Source organism: Homo sapiens, chromosome 1 (assembly GCF_000001405.40).
Source record: "Homo sapiens chromosome 1, GRCh38.p14 Primary Assembly".
In the NCBI taxonomy this organism is placed as follows: domain Eukaryota; kingdom Metazoa; phylum Chordata; class Mammalia; order Primates; family Hominidae; genus Homo; species Homo sapiens.
This window is the reverse complement of record NC_000001.11, coordinates 40970886-40992881: the sequence shown is the minus strand read 5'-3', so window position 1 is coordinate 40992881 and position 21996 is coordinate 40970886. Positions and strand designations below refer to the sequence as shown.

Sequence of the window (21996 nt, the reverse complement as noted above, 5' to 3'; positions counted from 1 at the left end):
TCTCTACTAAAAATACAAAAATTAGCCAGGAGTGGTGGTGCACACCTGTAATCCAAGCTACTCGGGAAGCTGAGGTAGGAGAATCGCTTGAACCTGGGAGGTGGAGGTCACAGTGAGCCAAAAAGATCGCGCCACTGCACTCCAGCCTGGGCGACACAGCGAGACTCTGTCTCAATTAAAAAAAAAAAAAAAAAAAAAATTGAACAATTTTAATGACAACCTATTCTGCTACAGAATTGAATTTCCTTCACTTGCTAGGCCAGAAATATCTAAAACCTGGCCAAAGCTACATGCTCAATGTATCACCACTAGAATTTCCATACTAAGCACCACACTTAGATACATTACAGGTTCCAAATTTTGGATTTCCTGCATCATAGGTACAGTAACAAAAACACTAAGATCTCTGTGACAGCCTACAACACCCTAGACACCAGGCACCAGAAACAGAAAGTTGAATGAGGTGGCCCTTGCCCTCCAGAAGCTTAGAGTCTGTGAAGGGAGATACACACCACACATGTACACACACACACACACCAGAAAGATGGGCCCATCAGCAGCATACATGCGACACCACACAGGAGCCCAGTGAAGGACGCAGTTAACCCTGAAGGCCAAGGGCCAGGAGGTTTGGCAGTTAAAGCTTCTCAGACAACACTATGTCTTCGCTAGAACCTGAAGGATGAGAGTGAGTAGGAGACTGCCAAGCCAACAGGAAGAGGGGGACATGGGTTCTTAACAGAAATTAGCCAGTGAAAAAGTACAATCATAGGGAGAGTGGAGGGTACTAGGGGAACCGAAAGATACTCCACCCGGCTGAAGCACAAAGTACAACGAGGCACGGAGAAGAGGCAGGAGGGACACAGGTGTTGTTTGGGGAACCAGGAGAGGCAGGGAATGGCCGATGGCAATGGGTTCTTCTGGAACAGCCCACTATCTCTAATTAGAAAATAACAAGCCTCACGAAACTGATCAAGAGGCTTTAGGACAATTAGAAGCAAAAAACAACTTATTAGAGATGGGAATTTCTACTCACTTGTTCAGGCTCAACATGGCAGAACATTGATATTTTCTCCTTCACTGATGTGTCAAGTGGATTTGAGCACCTGCATACAACCTAGCAGTAGAGAACAAGATGGCTTAGACAGAAGGAAAAAATGACAGAAGTAGGGGTTTCTCCTGACTGAAATTAAAACAGACATCACATTGTTAAGATGAACGAAAACGTTAACTCTCAGCACCAGGCACATAATCCATAAAAATATTATGACTCGTTTCAAAGCTAAAATCCGTAAACGCCAAACTGGAGAAACATAAGAGAATGGCAGTACAAATGAATACATTAATGAACTACAAGAGCTCTGGGATTTTCCTCCATTAGTGTTCCCAAGTAGGAGTAAAAATGAGAGTAAAAAGACTGAGAGGAAAAATAAGGTCTGGGGAGTACAAGACCTAACACGCTCTAAGTATGAACATCTTGCAAACTACAGCCCGGTTCAAAGAACTAATCCTATTTTCTCCATCATCAATTATCAAAAGCAACCCAACAAGACAAAGGTCTTGTCTGTCATGATAGAGTGATCTTAACTAGACATAAAAGATTACACTGCAACCAGCTATCAGGAAATCTTACCAGATCTGGGGAAAGCCCAAGTCCTCTAAGTTCCCGAACACTATTCTGGGTAGGTTTAGTCTTCTGTTCCCCTGTTGAACTTGGCTATTTCACAAAAGAAAAAAAAAAAAAAGTTAGTTTCCCTCTGATAAGGAATTTTCAAGTATGACTTTTCCTTGAACCTCTTTTAATAAGGAAATAGATCATTTGGTCACTTGTGTAATTTAGCTTTTATGTTTGTCAAAGTTACACATGCATGCATTTTAGAATCAAATGGTTCTAACCGAGCTTGTAAGCAGTATCGGCCCTCACCCACTCTCCCCTTTCCAATCCCTAGAAACAACCGCTCTTCAACTCTTAACTGATCTTGCTGGTGTGCTACTTCTCCACATTTACTTGGAGGCATTTTCTATTGATTTCCCTGTTAAATGAGGATCCTGCCCCCATTAGACACTTTCCTGTGCCTGCAGTCCTCTTTTGGGTTTACATACTTTTTAAGTATTTAAATACTGTTCCCAAACCATGTGCCACACTTTTCCTTTCTGTACTAAATCATCTTTATTCTTCTCTCACACTTAACAGATACACGTTACACATGGACTTGTAGGATGGAAATCATTTTCTGTTGGACTTTTTCTTTTTTTTTAAATCGAGACAGGCTCTTGTCACATTGCCCAGGCTGGTCTCAAACTCATAGGCTCAAGCAGTCCTCCCACCTCTGCCTCCCAAACTGCTGAGATAACAGGTGTGAGCCACCATGCTCAGCCTCCACTAGAATTTTTAATGAAATAGCATCAATGTCTTTTAGCTTCCAGTATTGTTGCTAAGGGGTCCAGTGGCACAATGATTCTTGATTTTTCTCTTCAGAGCCTTTTAGAACTTCTGCCCCATTAGTCTGAACCTTCACAATAATATGCCTTGGTGTAGGTCATCTGTCATCCAATATGATAGGCACCAAGGGGGCCCTTTCAACCCAGAAACTGATGTCTAGAAATTTCCTTGAATTGTTCAGATAAGGGGTCAGAAAATTTTTTCTGTAAAGGCCCTGATAGTAAGTATTTTAGGTTTTGTGGGCCACACAGTCTCTGCCACAAGTATTCAACTCTACTGTTCTAGAGCAAAAGCAGCCACAGACAGCACATAAACAAGCAGACACAGCTGTATTTCCATAAACTTGATTTCCAAATACGGGGGGGTAGGTTCATGTGGCCCATAGGCCATCATTTGCTGACCCCTGGGGTTCAGATTATACCTCCATTTCTGTGTTCTTATTTTTTGGAACTCCTATTATTTGGACATTAGAACTTCTGAGCCAGTCCTCTAATTTTACCTTTTCTCTCCTATTTTCTATCTCTTGGTCTTTTTGCTGTACTTCCTTGGGTATTTCCTCAACTTACTTTCTCTTAACTTTTTCATTTCTGCTATCTAATTTTTAATTTCCAAGGATTCTTTTCTGTTCTCTCAATGTTTCTTTCTTATAGCATCCAGTTCTTACCTAACGGATATAGCTTATCTCCTTCTAATTTTCTAAGAATAGTAATGACAGGTCATTTTTGGTTTTTTGGTGTTTTTTTAAAGTTTCCTCTGCTTGTAGCGCCTCAGTTCCCTGTAAGTTTCTTTCTTTCTGTTGTTTGGTCTCTTACCTATCAGATGCTTTCTCCAAGTGTATGGAGGCCTGCTTAAATGCTACCTATAAGTTATGTGTGAGTGTGTAGGCTTGTCATGGTGAAAATCTGGCTGGCTTATTTCATGGGGAGCCGCCAGAGCCAGTGTCTTTTATCCTGGGCTATCCATACCCCAGAAGACAATCTTACAACCTCCTACGTGGAATGGCCAAGCCTAAACATGATGATTCTGGGAACCAAATGGTGGAAGAAGGCAAGGACTGTCAACAGCGTTAACATTACACATAACCCCATGTTTGTAGTCCAGTGTTACTGCCCTCAACTGTCCCTACTGTCTGCTCATCCAGGAACCCTCCCCAGAGAACAAGCCTCCAGTCTTCTGCCAAGGTGGGAGGAGGCTAACGCCCAACTGTGCACTGTAGGAAAAAGATGTCAGGGTCTGAGTCTTCTGAAGCAGTAGTTACATGAGGCCCACCCTCATCCCACTCCTGAGCTTTTGGGGTTCTGCAGGGCAAACAGGGCTGCTTCTCTGCTTTCACTGCTGCGGGCTTAAGATCCGGCACTCAAGGTCAGCTTAGTCGGTTCTATGCATCCATCTGCTTTCCGGCTTCCCAATTTTTGTTACTATTGACTCCTCTCCACAAGATTTGTCTTTAAAAACAGCCTCTTTACTCTAGTTCCACCATATAGTAAAGACAAATGCACACGGCCAATCTACATCTGCAAATGCAACTGCCCTGATTTTTCAAATGTTTTCTATTTGATCTTTTCAAAAAAGTATGATTGTAACAAATTTAAACTTACAAAGTTCTTTATTCTCTGCTTCCTGCACCTCAAGTGAAAACTACTAGACAATGAGTGAAAATCATTCCGGTTTACCTTTCCTCCCTCCTCTCCATCTCCCCCAAAGTAAAACTTTCAATGTCTTACTTACCTGGGGAACTAGACTGACGTGGATGTTACAAAAGTTCTCTCTTTTGACCTTGAATTGGAACTGACGGAAGGCCTCAATAAAGGGCATGCTTTCTATGTCCCCCACGGTTCCACCAAGCTAGAAGAACAAAGTTGTTTCAGAGGTTAGGCACTAAACCCTTCTCTGGCAGTTTAGTTTTCTAACAACTGTTCTGTCTTCCTGATTCAGTATCAGTAATTATGTAACACGGACTCTCTAACCCTGTATAATGTTAGTTAACAGTTAACAGGAATTAGACAACTCTTTGTACTAAAAGGTTATTCTTTTGGACAGGCTCATCCTTCCCAAAGGTTATTATGGAACTTTCCACATCATTTCAAGAAAAAGGTCAGATGAGAGAGGTGCCAGGAATGTTATCTCTATCACAGTGACAAAGTAAAAAAAAAAAAAAAAGAAAAACCTAAATCTTATCTCCTTAGTTAACCATAAATAATTTTTGTACTGAAAAAGCATCAGTTGGCTGGGCACGGTGGCTCACATCTGTAATCCTAACACTTTGGGAGGCCAAGGCAGGCAGATGGCTTGAGTTCAGGAGTTAGAGACCATCCTGGGCAAAATGACGAAACCCTGCCTCTCCCAAAAAAGTACAAAAACTAGCCGGGCATGGTGGTGCGCACTGTAGTCCCAGCTACTTGGGAGGCTAAGGTAGGAGAACTGCTTGAGCCCAGGAGGTCAAGGTTGCAGTGAGCCATGACTGCTGCACTGGACTCCAGCCTGGGTGACAGAGTGAGACCCTGTCTCAAAAAAAAAGTATTAGTTATAAACAAACTGCTGGAACTTTTGAGTCTCCTGTTATCTGAGGAACACTGAGATCCAACAGCTAGGATCAGCACAGCAGGAGTACAGATACTGAAACCAAATGAAGCTCATTCGGAGACGAATGCTCTTGCCAGACGAAAGCAAAAGATCTGCTGACTTGCTCAAGAGACAGATGAAAATGTGTCACACTACTCATGGGGACAATCAGTACTAAGTGATTGTACCATAAATGCTACAAAAAAGGAACACTGGGCAAACTACGGTTTTCCCTTGCGTGGCCATTCCACATGACTGTTAACTGTGCCCTTACCTGCCACATTGCAACATACTGCACCAGAGATAGGAAGGCCAAGGGCTCCACTGGGAACTGTCTTATCAGTTATTGATGGCTGACTAAGGAGATGAGTACACTTGTTCACATGTGCAGGAATCATACAAACCTCAATAACACACACTTGAGGTTCCAGGCCATCTTCATCTACAGGTATTAACGCCTGTCTCATCACCCACTCCTGGATTGCATCTGTGATATGAGGGACAACTGGGAAAAAGAAAACAAACAGGGAACTTACGCTTGTCCATCTACATTGATTGAGACAAATGCACTTACTGTGAAAACAAACTGCAGCACTCTTTGCCTGGAGAGAGTAGCAATAGGGTCATAAAAATACTTTTGAGGCCCCCTTTAACTGGCCTCAACAAATCTCTGAGCTCACACTTCCTGCAGCCAGATGTCTAAGTTGTTGCTGGAAGCCCTGCAACAGAGCAAGGCTGACAGCAGTGTCCTGAGCCACACAGGCGCACGTGCCCCTGTGCAGAGTCTACCCTTTTGGCCACACACCAGTATAGCCAACCCTATTGCTCACAGCTGAAGGTAGGCACATTACACTTCAGTGCACTTCCAGGAACAAGAGACTTCTGGGACCCTGTTCCATATGTTTCCAGTTTACCAAAGGGTAGACAATCCACTGCAGTGAGCCAGCACAGCACAGCAGAGTGGTTAGAAGCACAGCACCCGGGGTCAGAATGTCTGGATTCAAACCTTAGTCTCATGACTCGTTAGCTGTGGATCTTTGGGCCAATTATAGAACCATTTTAAGCTTGTTTTCCCCACCTGTTAAGCTGTGGAAATTTTGTGAGACAGCACCTGTAAAATGCTCGGTAAAGTGCCTGCCATGTCAATGCTCAAAGAATGCCAGCAATTGCTCAACACTTCAAAAATCATAGTTGTTGGGCACAGATGGCAAGTTCCTAAAAGGTGAAGATTACTGTTTAACTCCAGGTTACTCCAGTTACAGCAATGCCTCATGCACAAGGATATTCATTTGCCTCACGCAGAAGAATATTCATTATCTACTCCACACATGGCGTCAAAGTGATCTTTTAAAATTCAAGTCAGAATTCATCACTCCCACACTTCAACTTTTCGGTGGCTTCCCACTCCTCCGAGTACACTCCTAGCTTCTTGCTGCGGCCCAGCGACTGGGTAGAACCTGGCTGTGGCTACCACCCCCGCTCTCTGACCATCTCCCTCAGTCACTCTGCCTTAGCTATGCCGGCCTCCCCTCCATTCCCGGACCAACCACGCCTTCGTAGCCCTGCGCCTCCGCACTTCTCATTCCACTCTCGCTGTGACTGGCCTCTCAGCTCAAATGGCCTCTCTTGGGAGACTCCCCGACCACCTGCCCAAAGTGGCTTTCCCCAGTCACTCTGTCCTCACTCCACTTGGTTTCTTCACAGCTTCTGACAGACGTCTCGTTTTGTTTCATGTTTGTTGTTTGCCTCCCCCACAGGTAACCTCCATGTGGGCAATGACTTCTCTGGTCTTGCTCATCACATGCATCACCAGCACCAGTGAGGGTCTGACTGCAGTGAGCATTCAATGCAAATTTGATGGATGATGAATAAATAAACAGCAAACTGTAAGATCAAAACCATTCTAATTCCTAACTGATTCCTTTCTATGTGTCAGGAAGTCAGGGAAACACTTCACTGACTTTTAGTTTCTTTAATCTTCCTAACAACCTAGAGAGGTAGGTGTTGTTATTGTCTCCATTTTACAGAAAAGGAATCCACATTTTGAAGAGGTTAATTTGCCCATGTTCACAAAGCTGGTGAGAGGGGAAGCTAAGATCCAAACATGACCCAATTAGCCCAGAATCTTGCCAGGGCAGCCCCAGACCAGAGCCAGCTGTCAGTGTGACCCTCAGCTTTCAGGCCAGTAAAGTCTAAAGCCAAAAGCAGATCTGCTCTCATAACTCAGATTAAAGCCACTTTTCAGCAACCTCTCCAAATTTGGGCCACTGCCATTATACTAGATCAGTAGTTTTCCATCCCCACCTTTTTAAAGCAGCAAAACATTTTCCTTAAATGAATGTTTGTACAAAACCCCAAAACAGCAAATAGATGTAAGCGAAGCTGTGCCAGTGAAAGCTTGGGAGGACCCAGAAACCCACTTCTCAGGCTCCTCCTAGGCCATATGGCACTGATGAACGGCCTGGAAACCAGTATACACAATAGATGTTCATTTCCTTCTCACTTCTATACATAGTAAGTCCCAGATGCACACATACATGCCATCTGGCTTAATGCCCTAATCGAGTTGCCTTTACCACTTTCACACTCATTACTGTGTAAAAACAACAGCTCTCTGGACTCGTATCATGCTGCCTTAGCAGAATTGACAAGCTTCAACGAAGAAGTAGTTCTTCAAATTATTTTTTTTAGCAAACAACAATATAATTCTGATTTTTCAACTGAAGGCATATTTCAGTAACAATACCTTGAGAGTTTCATGCTGAAATCACATACAATGTAAACTTCTGTACTCAAAAGGGAATTACACATCTGTGTAGAGGTGGGAGGGAGAAGAAATTAAACTGGTTAAGACTTTTAAGCTTTAAAGGTAAATCCAGTATTACCTTGGACAGTTTTCCCCAAGTAATCTCCTTTCCGTTCCTTGTTAATGACATACTGGTATATCTTTCCAGTGGTCAGATTATTGTCCTTGGTGAGGCGGATGTCAAGGAACCGCTCATAGTTACCCAGGTCAAGGTCTACTTCCCCACCATCATCCAGCACAAAAACCTCACCTGCAGTGAACAGAGAAACCATTTACGTTAAGTGAAAAATACCTATACCATGGCACAACTGCAATCCTGAAATAAAACACTCATTAACAAGGTGTGCAATTACGTAATAGGAAGCACAGAAATTCACTTCTAGAAGACTAAATATGACACACAAAAAGAAAAATTACCAGCTATTCTCTAAAAGGTAACCTCATACTTCTAGCCTGTCAACAAACTCATTCTTAAGAAGAGTTATAAAATAGCATGGGATGGGAAGAAATGACAGCCCAGTGGGCTGTGCATACAGGACTTTACAGTAGTATACAGCATCTGCTGCTTAGGGAAAAAGAACCTTCAGAAACGTCTCCTAATTGAGCATAATATGGTTTAAAGTATGATAACAATATTTGATTCAAAACCTGGATATATGCATATTAAGCTTGTGCTGATTATAAAAATCAGCTTCCGAGCTCTGCTTTTGTTCTAAACAACTTTGTGAAACTGCACATATTTACCCCATTCTTTTGTTGCACATTCATTCCATGAAACTTCACTCTAGAAATTTTGCCCAGAATGATTCATTCCTACCATCACAATAGGAGACAAGCTCAAACACAGGAAAGGAAAAAAAGTCTCATTTTCTCCCTCAGAGAGATAACTCATCCTCTGCTCAAGAATTCTGTATTAAATATCACTCAGGTATATGGATCTTTTCCTGATGCCATTTGTTACGAGGATTTCTGCACTAGTGACATTTAATGCTTGCATATTTTCACCTCAACGCTAGAGAGTAGGAGTACGAATGCAGAATTTTAAAACTTAAGAGGTATGTTTTAACATCTCTCCCAGTTTTAAGCAATTAATCTTTGAAGTAACAGCCACAGCTGTATGTCACACCATTGACAGGTTCTCAATAACAACAAAGAAGTAAAAGGCAGTCGGGCATGGTGGCTCACACCTATAAAACCCAGCACTTTGGGATTACAGGTGGGAGGACCCAAGACCAGCCTGGACAACACAGTGGAACCCCACCTGTACAAAAAATTTAGAAATTAGCCAGGCATGGTGATTTACACCTGTAGTCCCAGCTACTCAGGAGGCTGAGGTGAGAGGATCGCTTGAGCCAAGGAGGTGGAAGCTGCAGCGAGCCATGATCACACCACTACACTCCAGCCTGAGGGACAGAGTGGGATCCTGTCTCAAAGAAAAAAAAAAAAAAAAAGAATTCTGCTTCTTCCTTTCTAGGTGAGAAAAGTATCATTCTGCTGTATTAAGGGACCTGTTAGAAGGCAGAAAATAAAAGTTATGCAAACCGTGCACATAATTCCCAAGTGCTGACATGTTCTGCCACATGCAATTATTATGAAGAAATCCACTGTGCTTACCATGCTCATAAGGAGAGAATGTTCCTGCATCAATGTTAATGTAGGGGTCAATTTTGATTGAAGTTACATGTAAACCACATGACTTGAGTATTGTGCCCACACTGCTGGCAATGATTCCTTTTCCAATTCCTGATATAACACCACCAGTAACCAGAATGTACTTCATTTTACTCTTTGACCTGGAAGAAGGAAAAATTACAGATGATATAAATGTATCTCAACAAACCAAACTCATCTGGGTTCAAACACTGGCTCTGCCAATTATTAGCTATGAACCCTCTTGAAGCCTCAGTTTCTCTGTCACAGGACTTCAGAAGGTTCTCGTCAGGTTTAAATAGGATCAAAACAAACATTTCTTGGATCACTGAATGGCTTTAGTCAAATACGTGTAGAAAAACAACTGCTACTCTAATAACACAGCTTTTGTTTAAAGCTTTGACAACTAATAACCTTCAGAGTCAACCTAATAAAACCAGCTCTAAGCTGGCTGATAGAACACTACACCCCAAATGTTTGCTGACATCACTGCCAGACACTGGGATACCAGGCAGGTGCCTCATTATTTTCCCTACATGGGAAAAAAATTCAAACTTGGATAAGTACTCCAGTTCTCCAGGAAATAAATAATGTCTTTGGCTAAACTACAACATATCATCAAGAAAACACAGCTCCTCTAGGTTACAAAAGATAGACTAAAAGGAAAGAACATCAACATTTAAAAGTGGTTGCAGCTAAACCAAAATTCCTTTAATTAAAAGTAGTTCTCTGGCTGGGCATGGTGGCTCATGCCTGTAATCCCAGCACTTTGGGAGGCAGAGCCAGGAGGATCACTTGAGGTCAGGAGTTCGAGACCAGCCTGGCCAATATGGGGAAACCGCATCTCTACTAAAAATACAAAAATTAGCCGGCTGTGATGGCGCACGCCTGTAGTCCCAGTTACTCAGGAGACTGAGGCAGGAGAATCGCTTGAACCCAGGAGACAGAGGTTGCAGTGAGCTGGGATCATGCCACTGCACTCCAGCGTGCGCGACAGAATAAGACTACCTCAAAAAAAAAGAAAAAGTAGTTCTCTTCTATAATTTAACAACAACTTGCTCCTTGTCAGAAATCTCTCCCAGGCATGCAATGAAGAGAGACTGTAAATACTGGGGGAGAGGGACATCAGATAAGAAACCAGTCTGAAGCACATGACGGGCAGAGGACTCAAAGAGAGGGGAGATGAGATTAAATCCAAAAAGCAGTGCCACGGTGGCAGGGAAAGGAGAAATAAGATATAAGGGCAGCAGAGTCAAGATGCAGGTGAAAACAGCATCGACAAGAGGTGAGGAGACCGTGACAGGCTCACCACGGAGGATTTATCACTGGTCCCCAGCTTCAGAGGTCCAGGATCGTCCATTTGGTCAGCAAACCCAAATGTGACCAAAATGAAAAACACAATTAGAAAGTAGCAGAAAATGCTTACTTTGGCATGGTCAGGACATTTTCCTCCTCAGGAACGTTCCATGTGAAGCCAAATTATGATAAAAATAAACTAAGGAACAAGAAAACTAAGGAGTTGTGCTCGAAGCATTCCCCCGCCCCACCCCCTCCCCAGAGCAAGAAAGAACACACTTGGCAGGGAAGGAAGAATGCTCAGAAGTCTTCCCCGCTCCAAAGGCTCTTTGCATCCTCTGCTGCAGCATTTCCAAAAGCATGCTCCCTGGTTTCAACAAAATGCACATGGGATTCTCAAAAAGGGTGTTATGGATATAAATCAGAGAAACGCTGATTAAACCAAGTCATTTAACGCAAGAATCCTGGGAGTGTTTAGCAAGTAAACTCGCACTGTGATCACTGCTATACAGTATGCGGTGTCTCCAAGCTTATCTGACCCTAAGTCTCTCACTTTACAGTTCCTTATTGACACATGAAAATCAGTCTTAGGTACATTTTAGATATGTTCTAACCAGACATATACCTTACTGAGACTATACCCTGGTCTCCCTAAGTTTTGGATGATCCTAGAAATTCCTCTGCCACCGAGTGAGTTACTTCTACAAAAGATTCATCTCATCCAATTACATTTGATTTGTCCCAATTTTACTCTAAGAGTTTAACATCTCTCTTTACGTTCTTTAGTTTCTCTCTTTAGATTCTTGCAGTCTCAGTGCCTGGCAATACATATGCCAGTGTACATAAAGATCAGGCGGGAGGCTCATTCATTCATCCTTATGGGCTACTGACTTACATGACAGCTACTGTGCTTGGGGACTGCAAACATTAATCAGATTTGGGCCCATATCTCAACTTTCTGGCAGTCCAGTTGGAGAGATGAAACATTAACAAATAAATGAGTAATTCAGTGACGGTGGAAGCAGACAGAAAACATGTTTAGACTATAAAGGGGGACGATGAGAGCAGACGCTTTCAGTACCATGGCCATCAGAGGAAGGTGAGACAAGTCCTGGGGGTAGTGGGCGGATCCAGGCGGCTCCTGTTTTGTAGATATGACTTGCAATGGGCCTTGAAGGACTGACTGCACGACTCAGAGCACAGGAAAGGGAACAGGGTGAACAGGCAGGTGCAGGGCAGCTACAGAGAACAGAGGTAAGGCCGTGAGGGGGAAGGCGGGGAAGCAGGGATATACAGTGGAAGATAAACTGGAAAGGTAGGCAAGGGCCAGATCATGTGCAAACTGGCATGCCCAATCTGAACTTAATCCTGAAGGTGACGGAAGGCGCAAGAAGGTTTTCCGGCACAGAAGTAACGTAAATCAAGACGCATCAGAGAAATTCAACAAAGACTGAGGGGGGAAATGCTTTTTCTTTCAATGTTATGAGATGAAGTGCCAGCCCCCATCACTAGTGTGCAGACCTCAATCATGTCACTTGAGCTGCCTGCAACGCGGGTTCTCACCTAGGGGAATGGGGGTGAGAATCTCTGCGCCGCCCGCGTCACAGGGCCGCTGAGGATTCGAAACTGTAACGAGCGTGGACGGAAGGGCGCCACGCAAACGTGGTGAGCTCTATACACCGCCAGCGCCCCGACCCCCGGCCGCCGGGAAGGGAGGAAGCCGTGAGGCCCAAAGGCCAGCCGCGGGGCCCAGGGCCGGCGAGTTCGCAGGCCCCCTCGTCCTACGGCGCGGAGCTGCCGCGCCCAGCCCCGGGCGGCTGAGCCCGCGCCGAGGCCGGAGGCCCGAGGCCCGCACTGCTTGAATGGATGGGCGACTGCCGGGCTTCCTCGCAGACGAAGAGCAAGGGCGGAGGGTGTGGGGGGGGGCGCCGCTCCACTCCCCTACGGCCTTCTCCGTCCGACGAGCCCGGCCGAGCTGATTCGGCGCGGCCCAGCGCGGCAGCGCAGGCCCCGCAGCCTCTGAAGCCGCCCCGCGCCCCGCTTGGCCCCTCTCCCCAGCGCCGCCCGGCCACGAGGCCCGCGCGCGGGAGCCGGCAGCTCGCCGGCCGGGGCGCCCGCCCCACTCCCGTTAGGCACACAGCCCATTGGGCAGGACGCCGAGTCACCTCGCCCCTGATTGGTAGGAGCGACGTCCGTCACCGCGGCGGCGGGGCTATTCGGCGCCGGGCTCAGCTCGCGCCGCTGACTCCTGCGCGGGAGAACAGATCCCCCCCGGGATCCCTGGAGTCAGCCTACCTGCGGCCGGCTTCAGATCCTCCCGTCAGCGACAGAGCTGGGCCGGCGACGCGCGCGGAGCCCCGGACAGCCAGTGAACAACCCCGACCGCATGCGCCCGGCAGTCTTTCACGGAGGCGGGCTCTAGGCTGTGCGCACGCAGAGGTTGGAGGGCGGGCCGGGCCTGGAGGGCGCGGGGCGGGGCGGGGCCTGGAGTGCGCAGGCGCGGGACAGGACCGCTGGGCCGCCTCCGCTGAACTGTGCCGCCGTAGGTTCGAGGCCGGGCGGGTGGTGGCGTGTCTGCCCCTCTGCTTCCGTCCCAGCCTGTGGCCCAAGCTTACTCTCTTGAAGGGGAGGAGGCTGTTTGGGAACTCACGCCTGGCCTATTCGTCACCTGGCCTCGCGTCCTCCCACAGCGGTCTCCTGGAGTTCTGGGCGTCGCCTTCCATCCGATGGTCTTTCACTGTGGGCTCCTGGCGGTGATGCGCCAGCGCATCTCTGCCTCCGGGCGAGGGACGGCGGCAGCGCCACCCTGGCCTCCAAGACGGAAGTGCGGAGGGTCGCGCGGCGTTGGCTCCTCGTCGGCCTCCCTCCTCCCCACACCTGCCCCGAAGGCGGCTGCTTTGGATGGACTAGGATCCCGAAAAGTACGGTTTCATCTAGCTATCGCTCCCTGAGCACCGACTGTGCCACGCACTGTGCTGGGCACCGAGGGACCCTCTCCTCGGACTAACGATGTAGGGAGGCACACTGAGCAGCTCATTACACTTTATGGTTGTTATGGGTGCTTGCTGCAGAGATGCTGGTGCCGGGGCAGTGAGTGCCCAGCGCGGGGACTGACCCAAGTCCGGTGGTGATTGGGAATTCAGGCGGGAAGCCCGCCCTGAAAAAGTAACTTTGAAGCAGAGACCTAAGTAGACGGCAAAGATGGGAAAGGGAGAGGCGGGGATAAGAAAGTGAGACATGCTTGAGCCCAACAGTTCGAGACCAACTTGGGTAACATAGCGAGACCCCGTTTCTTATAAAAATAATAATAGTAGGCCGGGCGCAGTGGCTCACACCTGTAATCCCAACATTTTGGGAGGCCGAGGCAGGCGGATCACAAGGTCAGGAGTTCAAGACCAGCCTCGCCAATATGGTGAAACCCCGTCTCTACTAAAAATACAAAAATTAGCTGGGCGTGGTGGTGGGTGCCTGTAGTCCCAGCTACTCAGGAGGCTGAGGCAGGAGAATAGCTTGAACCTGGGAGGTGGAGGTTGCAGTGAGCCAAGATTGCACCACTGCATTCCAGCCTGGGCGACAGAGCGAGACTCCTTCTCAAAGAATAAATAAATAAAATAAAAATAGTAATAATAATTTTTTTTTAAAAGTGAGGCAGAAGGAAAAGCCTGTGTACAAGCCCAAAGAGGCCGGCACAGCTGAATTGGAAGGCCAGTCTAGCCAAGTCCACAAGGGCCACAGGAAGCGAGATTAACATGAGATTAGGTTGAAGAGTTGGGTAGGGCCATACGGTGAAGAGCATTATAGACCAAGTAAAGGCTTCTCTTTCTCCTAGGGATAGTGGAAAGCTGTAGAAACTTTTGAGAGGCTTTTGACCTTCCTTTGAATAGTGAATATATGTACATGGTTATAATTTTTCCCCAAACACTACACAAGGGTATCCATGAAAAGTAAATCTCTTATTTCTGTACCCCAGTGTTCCTGTTTTGTTCTCTAGAAGCAGTCTGCCACAAGTTCTTAACTATCTTCACTGAAGGAGTTTTAAAAAAAAAGATGTGATGGGATCAGATTTGTGTTTTAGGAAAATCATTGAAGCAGATGGATTCCCAGAAACCAGGTCAGGAGGCTCCTGCAGTGGCCTCTTTTAGAGGCTTCTGGCTCCTTCCAGATCTGGATCACCAGTGCTTCAACCCTGACAACCTGCCCATGCTGCATTCAGCTCCAAATCTAAAAAATGTTTGGAATGCCAGGCATAGTGGCTCACACTTGTGATCCTGACACTTTGGGAGGCTGACACAGGGTGGGAGGATTTCTTGAGTCCAGGAGTTCAAGACCAGCCTAGGCAATATAGTGAGACCCCATCTCTACAAAAAATACAAAAATTAGCTGAGCATGGTGGCACGCATCTGTAGTCCTGGCTACTCCAGAGCCTGAGGCTGGAGGAATGCTTGAACCCAGGAATTCAAGGCCAATGGGAGCTAGGATCCCACCACTGCACTCCAGCCTGGGCAGAGTGAGACTCTATCTCAAAAAAAAAAAAAAAAAGTTTGGGTTGTCTTTGAAGGTACTCTACAGCCACATCTTCTTTCAAGAAGCATTTGATGTTTATCAAAGTGCCTGGAACATAACAGATGCTGAGAACATACTTGCTGAGGTAATGAAGATGCTATGGGAGATGGAAAAATGAGCCATTCACCCAACCACTCCTCTGAATGACCACTTGACATTGTCTTCTTCCTCAAAGCTCTTCCATCTCCTCCCCCATATTCTCCTCAGCTGGTGGTCTTGCTTCCCATTTCACGAGAAAATAGAAGCCATCAGTAGATTTTTCATATCCACCAACCACTTTTATCTGCGCACAAGCTCTGCGTTGTCTCCTGTTACTGTGGACAAACTGCCCACACTCCCAGAGGTCAACCTCCTCTTTGCTCCAAGTGCCATATCCATTTGTCAACTCAAAGAATGTCTAGTATGCAAGTGCCATATCCTTTCATCAACTCAAGAATGTCTAGTAGAATGTCCCTTCCTGCGTCATCAGTCTTTCCCTGTCTAGTAGATCTTTTCCACTACCGTGATGCAAACATGCTGCAATTTGTTCCATCTTAAAACCCCTCTCCTGACTCTATGCCATTCTCTAGCTCCCCCTCCATTTCTGTTTCACTTTTCAGCACAACTCCTAAAAAATGTTGTTTGTACTTTGCTGTCTCAATTTCTTCCCTCTCTTGAACTCATTCCAATCTGGATATTTTGCTCATATAATTTCACTGAAACTGATCTCGTCAAAAATTAACCTCCATGTTCTCAGACCTCTTCTTTGTACATCAGCCTAGACTCCAATCTCTAATGTCCGTAAGTCCCAAATAAAGACAACAGTGGGCTGGGCGCAGTGGCTCATGCCTGTAATCCCAGCACTTCGGGAGCCTGAGATGGGTGGATCACAAGGTCAGGAGTTCGAGACCAGTTTGCAAATATGGTGAAACCCCGTCTCTACTAAAAATACAAAACTTAGCCAGACGTGGTGGCAGGCGCCTGTAGTCCCAGCTACTCAGGAGGCTGAGGCAGGAGAATCACTTGAACCTGGGAGGCGGAGGTTGCAGTGAGCCAAGATTGCACCACTGCACTTCAGCCTGGGCGACGAGCGAGACTCCGTCTCAAAAAAAAAAAAAAATAGACAACAGTGTGGCTGTATGTGCATGGCATGAATGCATATGTGTGTGTGCACGTGCGCATGTGTATGTATTTACATATTTGGGCTGCTTCTCTCCCCCACCATAGGCCCAGTCTCCTTTTGGGCTCCTAGGTGCAGCTATACAGCCCCAGAGCTGCCCCCAAACTGACCACTTCCCTAAGAGCATTTGTCACAGCTGATCATTTCCTCCTTAAAAGGTGGGTGTCCTTTACTTGGCTTCTAGGAAACCACTTGCTGTTCATTTTTTCCTATTTCACAGGTTTCTCCTTCTAGATCTCCCTACCTAGATCCTCTTCCTTTTCCTCTATCCTGAACTATAAACATTGCCCCAAGCCTCAGTTCTAGGATCCCTTCTCTCTAAAGTCATTATCTAGTCATTAAAACCATCTGGCCCAGACGCAGTGGCTCACGTCTGTAATCTCAGCACTTTAGGAGGCCGAGGTGGGCGGATCACAATGTCAGGAGTTCAAGACCAGCCTGGCCAACATGGTGAAATCCCGTCTACTAAAAATACAAAAATTAGCTGGGTGTGGTGGCGCAGGCCTGTAATCCCAGCTACTCGGGAGGCTGAGGCAGGAGAATCACTTGAACCCTGGAGGCGGAGGTTGTAGTGAGCTGAGATTGCACCATTGCACTCCAGCCTGGACAACAGAACAAGACTCCGTCTAAAAAACAAAACAAACAAAAAAAATCCTTATTCTGACTACTCCCAAATTGATGTTCCCAGGCTGGATGTGTCCTGAACCCCAAGTTCTCTTCCAAGCCCAGGTCCTGAGGTGAGCCAGGCGCCTCGCCTACACGTGGGCCAACTCTATGATCCCATTGGTGCTCTAGAGCTCCCCGTGGGATCAGGCTGAGGCAAACTTCCTGAAAAGAACCAGTCTGTATTTTAGGCTTTGTGGGCCATATGGTCTCTTGCAATCACTCAACTCTGCCTTCATAGTGCAAAAGTAGCCATAGATAATATATCGATTAAATGAATGTGACTTATTTCAATAGAACTATAGCTGTGTTCACAAAATACTCTTTTACAGAAATAGAGCTTGGGTCTGAAGGCCAAAATGTGCCAACTCCTGAGCTAAACACATATCTTTGTCTCACTTTTTCCCCGCCCCATGCTCCCCTCGCTCCCTCACAGTCTTCACCTGAGGTTATTCCTCAGTCACTCGCTGACTCAAGAACCTACCTCCGGCTTTCTTCCTAGGGAACCCAGGCTAAGACAGGGTGCCTCCCGCACATTCCGTGGCACACCCAGTGCTTCCTCTGAGGCGTTTATCACAGCCTGCTGAGATTGCCTGTTCACTTATCTGTCTCCTCCATACCAGATTGGAATCTCTTTGAGGTTACTTAGCCTTTCTGTGTGTCACTTTCCTTATCAAGTACGTCTTGTGGACCTTTTAGTAACCAGCATCTAGCATCTGTAACTCCCACTACTACCCTATAATGCAAGTGCTGTCATTATTACTATATTACAGACGATGGAGCCAAGACTGAACACATGTAAACACCTTCCTGAGAGCACACGCGAAGGTTTGCTTTGGATTGTCTTTCTGTTTCTGTCCCTCATTCTGCCCATCATCAAGTCTTGCTTATTTTTTCTTCTCCAGGACTTCCTCGAGCTTTCTACTTTTATATGAATACGCTGTCACTCTAGTCTGGCATTCTAATGGATTATCTGGTTGAGAAATGGGGCAGGAGGGAGCCTACAACTAGTGATAGATTTGTTGTTTTTTTCCCAGATTGGGGCTATTTATGTTTTATTTAGTTTCTAATAGATATGTAAATGGCGTAAAATTCGAGTGTTAAAAAGGAATACACAGTAAAAGCTCTCCTTCCATACCTGTTCCCCAGCCACCCAAGTTTCCTCCCAGAAGCAACCACTATTACCAGTTTCTGGTTTATCCTTCAAGCACACTCTGTGCATATGTAGATATTCTTTTTGGCTGTATGTTATTTTAATATGACTGTATGATGTTGGATTTTCATCACTTGAGCTAGCTGTAATTATGTTATTTAGTGAATTTGTTGGTTTATGTCCTCACTTTGTTCAAGAAAGGATTTAAAGCCACTTGTGTGTGTGTCTACAAAATGTGAGCAAAAAATGAGGCAAAGGAAAGGAAGAATAGGAATTTTTCATCTTAATGACACTCCATTACCTTCAGGATAAAGTCAAAACCACACTGTGATGTATGAGGCCATGCAAAAATTGGCCTCAGTTTACCTCTCTAGCCACATCACCCACCCCATGCTCCAGCCACAATGATTCTTTCAGTTCTCTGAACATGCCATGTATTCTTTTCCACATATGAATCGTTGCATAGACCTCTGCTGGCTCTCACCTACCCCCCTGCTTCCTGCCTTTTTCTTGCTAACATCACATCACATCTCAACTTGGTCTTCACTTCCCCAAAGTAATTTTTTTGGGCAGACTCTCTCCCTCATTTGGGGTTAGCACTTCTCTCCCATTCTTTTATTGCTGCTGGGACGTCCCAGAGCATAGCACTTACCAAATTATATTTTAAGGGAGGCAGAGGGGAAGGTGGTGGTTAATGGGTACAAAAAATATATAGTTAGAAAGAATGAATAAGACTTAGTAGATTGGGTGCAGTGGCTCACGCCTGTAGTCCCAGCACTTTGAGAGGCCGAGGTGGGTGGATTGATGGAGTGCAGGTGTTCAGACCAGCCCAGGCAACATGGCAAAACCCCATCTCTACAAAAAGTACAAAAAAATTAGCTGAGCCTGGTGGTGCATGCCTGTTGTCCCAGCTACTGGGGAGGCTGAGGTGGGAGGATTACTTGAGCCACAGAGGCAGAGGTTGCAGTGAGCCAAGATCATGTCACAGCACTCCAGCCTGGGTGACAGAGTAAGACCCTGTCTCAAAAAAAAAAAAAGACTTAGTATTTGATAACACAACAGGGTGACTATAGTCAGTAATAATTTAATTGTACATTTTAAATAACTAAAAGTGTATAATTGGGCTGGGCGCCGTGGCTCACGCCTGTAATCCCAGCACTTTGGGAGGCCGAGGCAGGCGGATCACAAGGTCAGGAGATTGAGACCATCCTGGCTAACACGGTGAAACCCCGTCTCCACTAAAAATACAAAAAATTAGCCTGGTGTGGTGGCGGGCGCCTGTAGTCCCAGCTACTGGGGAGGCTGAGGCAGGAGAATGGTGTGAACCACTTTGTTCAAGAAAGGATTTAAAGTCACTTGTGTGTGTGTCTACAAAATGTGAGCAAAAAATGAGGCAAAGGAAAGGAAAAATAGGAATTTTCTATTTTAATGACACTCCATTACCTTCGGGATAAAGTCAAAACCACTCTATGATGTATGAGGCCATGCACAAATTGGGAGATGGAGCTTGCAGTGAGCCGAGATCGCGCCACTGCACTCCAGCCTGGGCGACACAGTGAGACTCCGTCTCAAAAAAAAAATAATAATAATAATAATAATAATAATATTGGATTGCTTGTAACACAAAGGATAAATCCTTAAGGGGATGGATACCCCATTCTCCATGATGTAACTGTTACACATTGCATCCCTTTATCAAAGTATCTCACGTACCCCATAAATATATATACCTACTATGTACCCACAATACATTTTTAAAAGAACAAATTTTATTTTAATAATCCACTTCCTTGCCCAAATCTCCCACTTGTCTACAAGCTCTGTGAGGTCGGGGACCTGTTTATCTGATTTTCTGTGATACGCCCAGTGCCTAGCTGCTTGTGGCACACAATAGTCATTTGTTACACAAATAAATGAGTCCAGAAATTCAATTAGATCACAAACTCTTTCGAGAGGAGAGTCACAAATTTGACTAACTTCCTAGGAGCCAAAGTGAAGAGGATCAATGTGACTATACAACAATTGCTCAGGAGGAATATCACTTCCTCAAATAACCCTTCATTGACCCCAGGTCCCTTTACCAGCTCCAAGTCCTCACTAATTTTCCTAGCAGCATTTATCAAAATTCTAACAATTGGTGGAGTAATTGGGTAGTTGTTTTCTGTCTTCCCCACCAGTCTGTATTTCATTTACGAGTATATCCCCAGCAGCTCTCATATGGCTGCATGTAGTAGATGCTCAGTAAATGTTTATTGAATTAATTAAAAGGACAATTATTTCTGCTACTGAGCTCAGAAATCAGTTCCCCCTGTGAGTCTTCATGGAGAGGATATAGGATATACAATGTAAGGATGAAAAGTCTCAATAGCATTTATACAGCAGACATACAGGCAAAGGTCACAGGCCTGTTCCTTAGAATGACTTCCTTTTTTTTTTTTTTTTTTTTTTTTTGGAGACGTAGTTTCACTCTTGTCACCAAGGCTGGAGTGCAATGGTATGACCCTGGCTCACTGTAACCTCCACCTCCCAGGCCAAGTTCAAGTGATTCTCCTGCCTCAGCCTCCAGAGTAGCTGGGATTGCAGACACCTACCACCATGACCAGCTAATTTTTTTGTATTTTTAGTAGAGACGTGGTTTCACCACGTTGGCCAGGCTGGTCTCGAACTCCTGACCTCAGGTGATCTGCCAACCTCAGCCTACCAAAGCTGGGATTACAGGCGTGAGCCAACATGCCCGGCCTAAGATGACTTTCAATAAAGGCTGGTGACAGTGTCACTGCATGTGATTTTGTTGTTCTCCAACCTGATTGCTGGGGAGATTTGAGGGGCAGTGAATTAAATACTACACTCTGAGAGATACATGGAATGATGCTACTCTGAACATCAGGTTAAATTGAAAGGCTGTCAACAAGCAGATGAGCTTGGGGGTAAAATTCATATTCTCCTCAGAACTAATTGATGTCCTTTATAGGGAACATGATGAAATGTCAGAATAATCTGACAGAGACATCTGTTTCATATAGGGCCTATAATAGTGTATATTACTATTATATATGAACATACAGTATAATTATACACGAGTACCTCAATAGCACATTTAAGGGAAAAATGTAGTAAAAGAAAGAAATGGCTAGGCGGGTACAGGATTACATGCCTGTAATCCCAACACTTTGGGAGACTGAGGTGGGCAGATCACCTGAGGTCGGGAGTTTGAGACCAGCCTGACCAACATGGAGAAACCCCGTCTCTACTAAAAATACAAAATTAGCCGGGCATGATGGCGCATGCCTGTAATCCAAGCTACTCGGGAAGCTGAGGCAGGAGAATCGCTTGAACCCGGGAGGCAGAGGTTGCAGTGAGCCGAGATCGCACCATTGCACTCCGGCCTGGGCAACAAGAGCAAAACTCTGTCTGAAAAAAAAAAGAGAAAGAAAAAGCCACTTTTTAAAATATGCTGTCAAACATAAGAAGGAATTCTTAGTTGAAAAATAGACCATAGTTAACATCACCATACAACCCATATTTGGTGAGCTAGTTCTGATTTCTTGGAATGTAGCTATTGTTAATAAAATGTGTACATATGTAACTGTGATTTTGTTATTGTACCCCTATGAGACTTACTGAAAATAAATGGGCTAGGCACATTTACAGTGCCTGTAATCCCAGCACTTTGAGAGACCTAAGTAGGAGGATTGCTTGAG

General features: G+C 45.5%; 1 protein-coding gene across 11 annotated transcripts in view, besides 5 other annotated features; it reads right to left on the bottom strand.

The window, feature by feature from the left end:
* CTPS1 (CTP synthase 1) overlaps positions 1-13186 on the bottom strand; it is a 32870-nt gene extending 19684 nt beyond the window's left edge. For 4 of the 11 annotated variants that reach the window (NR_125440.2, NM_001905.4, XM_047447471.1 and 1 more), the window contains exons 1-7: positions 13053-13186; positions 9426-9604; positions 7891-8061; positions 5410-5510; positions 4172-4288; positions 1634-1717; positions 1037-1117 (exon numbers count right to left, since the gene is read on the bottom strand). Coding sequence is in view for 10 of the 11 variants with exons in the window: in NM_001905.4 (NP_001896.2) it covers positions 1037-1117; positions 1634-1717; positions 4172-4288; positions 5410-5510; positions 7891-8061; positions 9426-9591 (720 nt within the window). In the remaining variant the exon portion in view is untranslated. Of the gene's footprint in view, positions 1-1036; positions 1118-1633; positions 1718-4171; positions 4364-5409; positions 5511-7890; positions 8062-9425; positions 9605-10770; positions 10843-10887; positions 12291-12320; positions 12853-13052 lie in introns of those variants that run through there. The other 7 variants (XM_047447461.1, XM_047447469.1, XM_024453561.2 and 4 more) reach the window with 5 other exon arrangements.
* Positions 12188-12237: an enhancer, noted in NCBI's record as "active region_858". NCBI's record gives its function as "activates an Ori minimal core promoter by ATAC-STARR-seq in GM12878 lymphoblastoid cells {active_cell/tissue: GM12878}" and the evidence as "EXISTENCE:reporter gene assay evidence [ECO:0000049][PMID:35858748]".
* Positions 12438-12577: a silencer, noted in NCBI's record as "silent region_740". NCBI's record gives its function as "represses an Ori minimal core promoter by ATAC-STARR-seq in GM12878 lymphoblastoid cells {active_cell/tissue: GM12878}" and the evidence as "EXISTENCE:reporter gene assay evidence [ECO:0000049][PMID:35858748]".
* Positions 12648-12937: a silencer, noted in NCBI's record as "silent region_739". NCBI's record gives its function as "represses an Ori minimal core promoter by ATAC-STARR-seq in GM12878 lymphoblastoid cells {active_cell/tissue: GM12878}" and the evidence as "EXISTENCE:reporter gene assay evidence [ECO:0000049][PMID:35858748]".
* Positions 13208-13397: a silencer, noted in NCBI's record as "silent region_738". NCBI's record gives its function as "represses an Ori minimal core promoter by ATAC-STARR-seq in GM12878 lymphoblastoid cells {active_cell/tissue: GM12878}" and the evidence as "EXISTENCE:reporter gene assay evidence [ECO:0000049][PMID:35858748]".
* Positions 17611-17905: a silencer, noted in NCBI's record as "tiled region #12776; K562 Repressive DNase matched - State 8:EnhW". NCBI's record gives its function as "represses a minimal TATA promoter and a strong SV40 promoter by Sharpr-MPRA in K562 cells {active_cell/tissue: K562}" and the evidence as "EXISTENCE:reporter gene assay evidence [ECO:0000049][PMID:27701403]".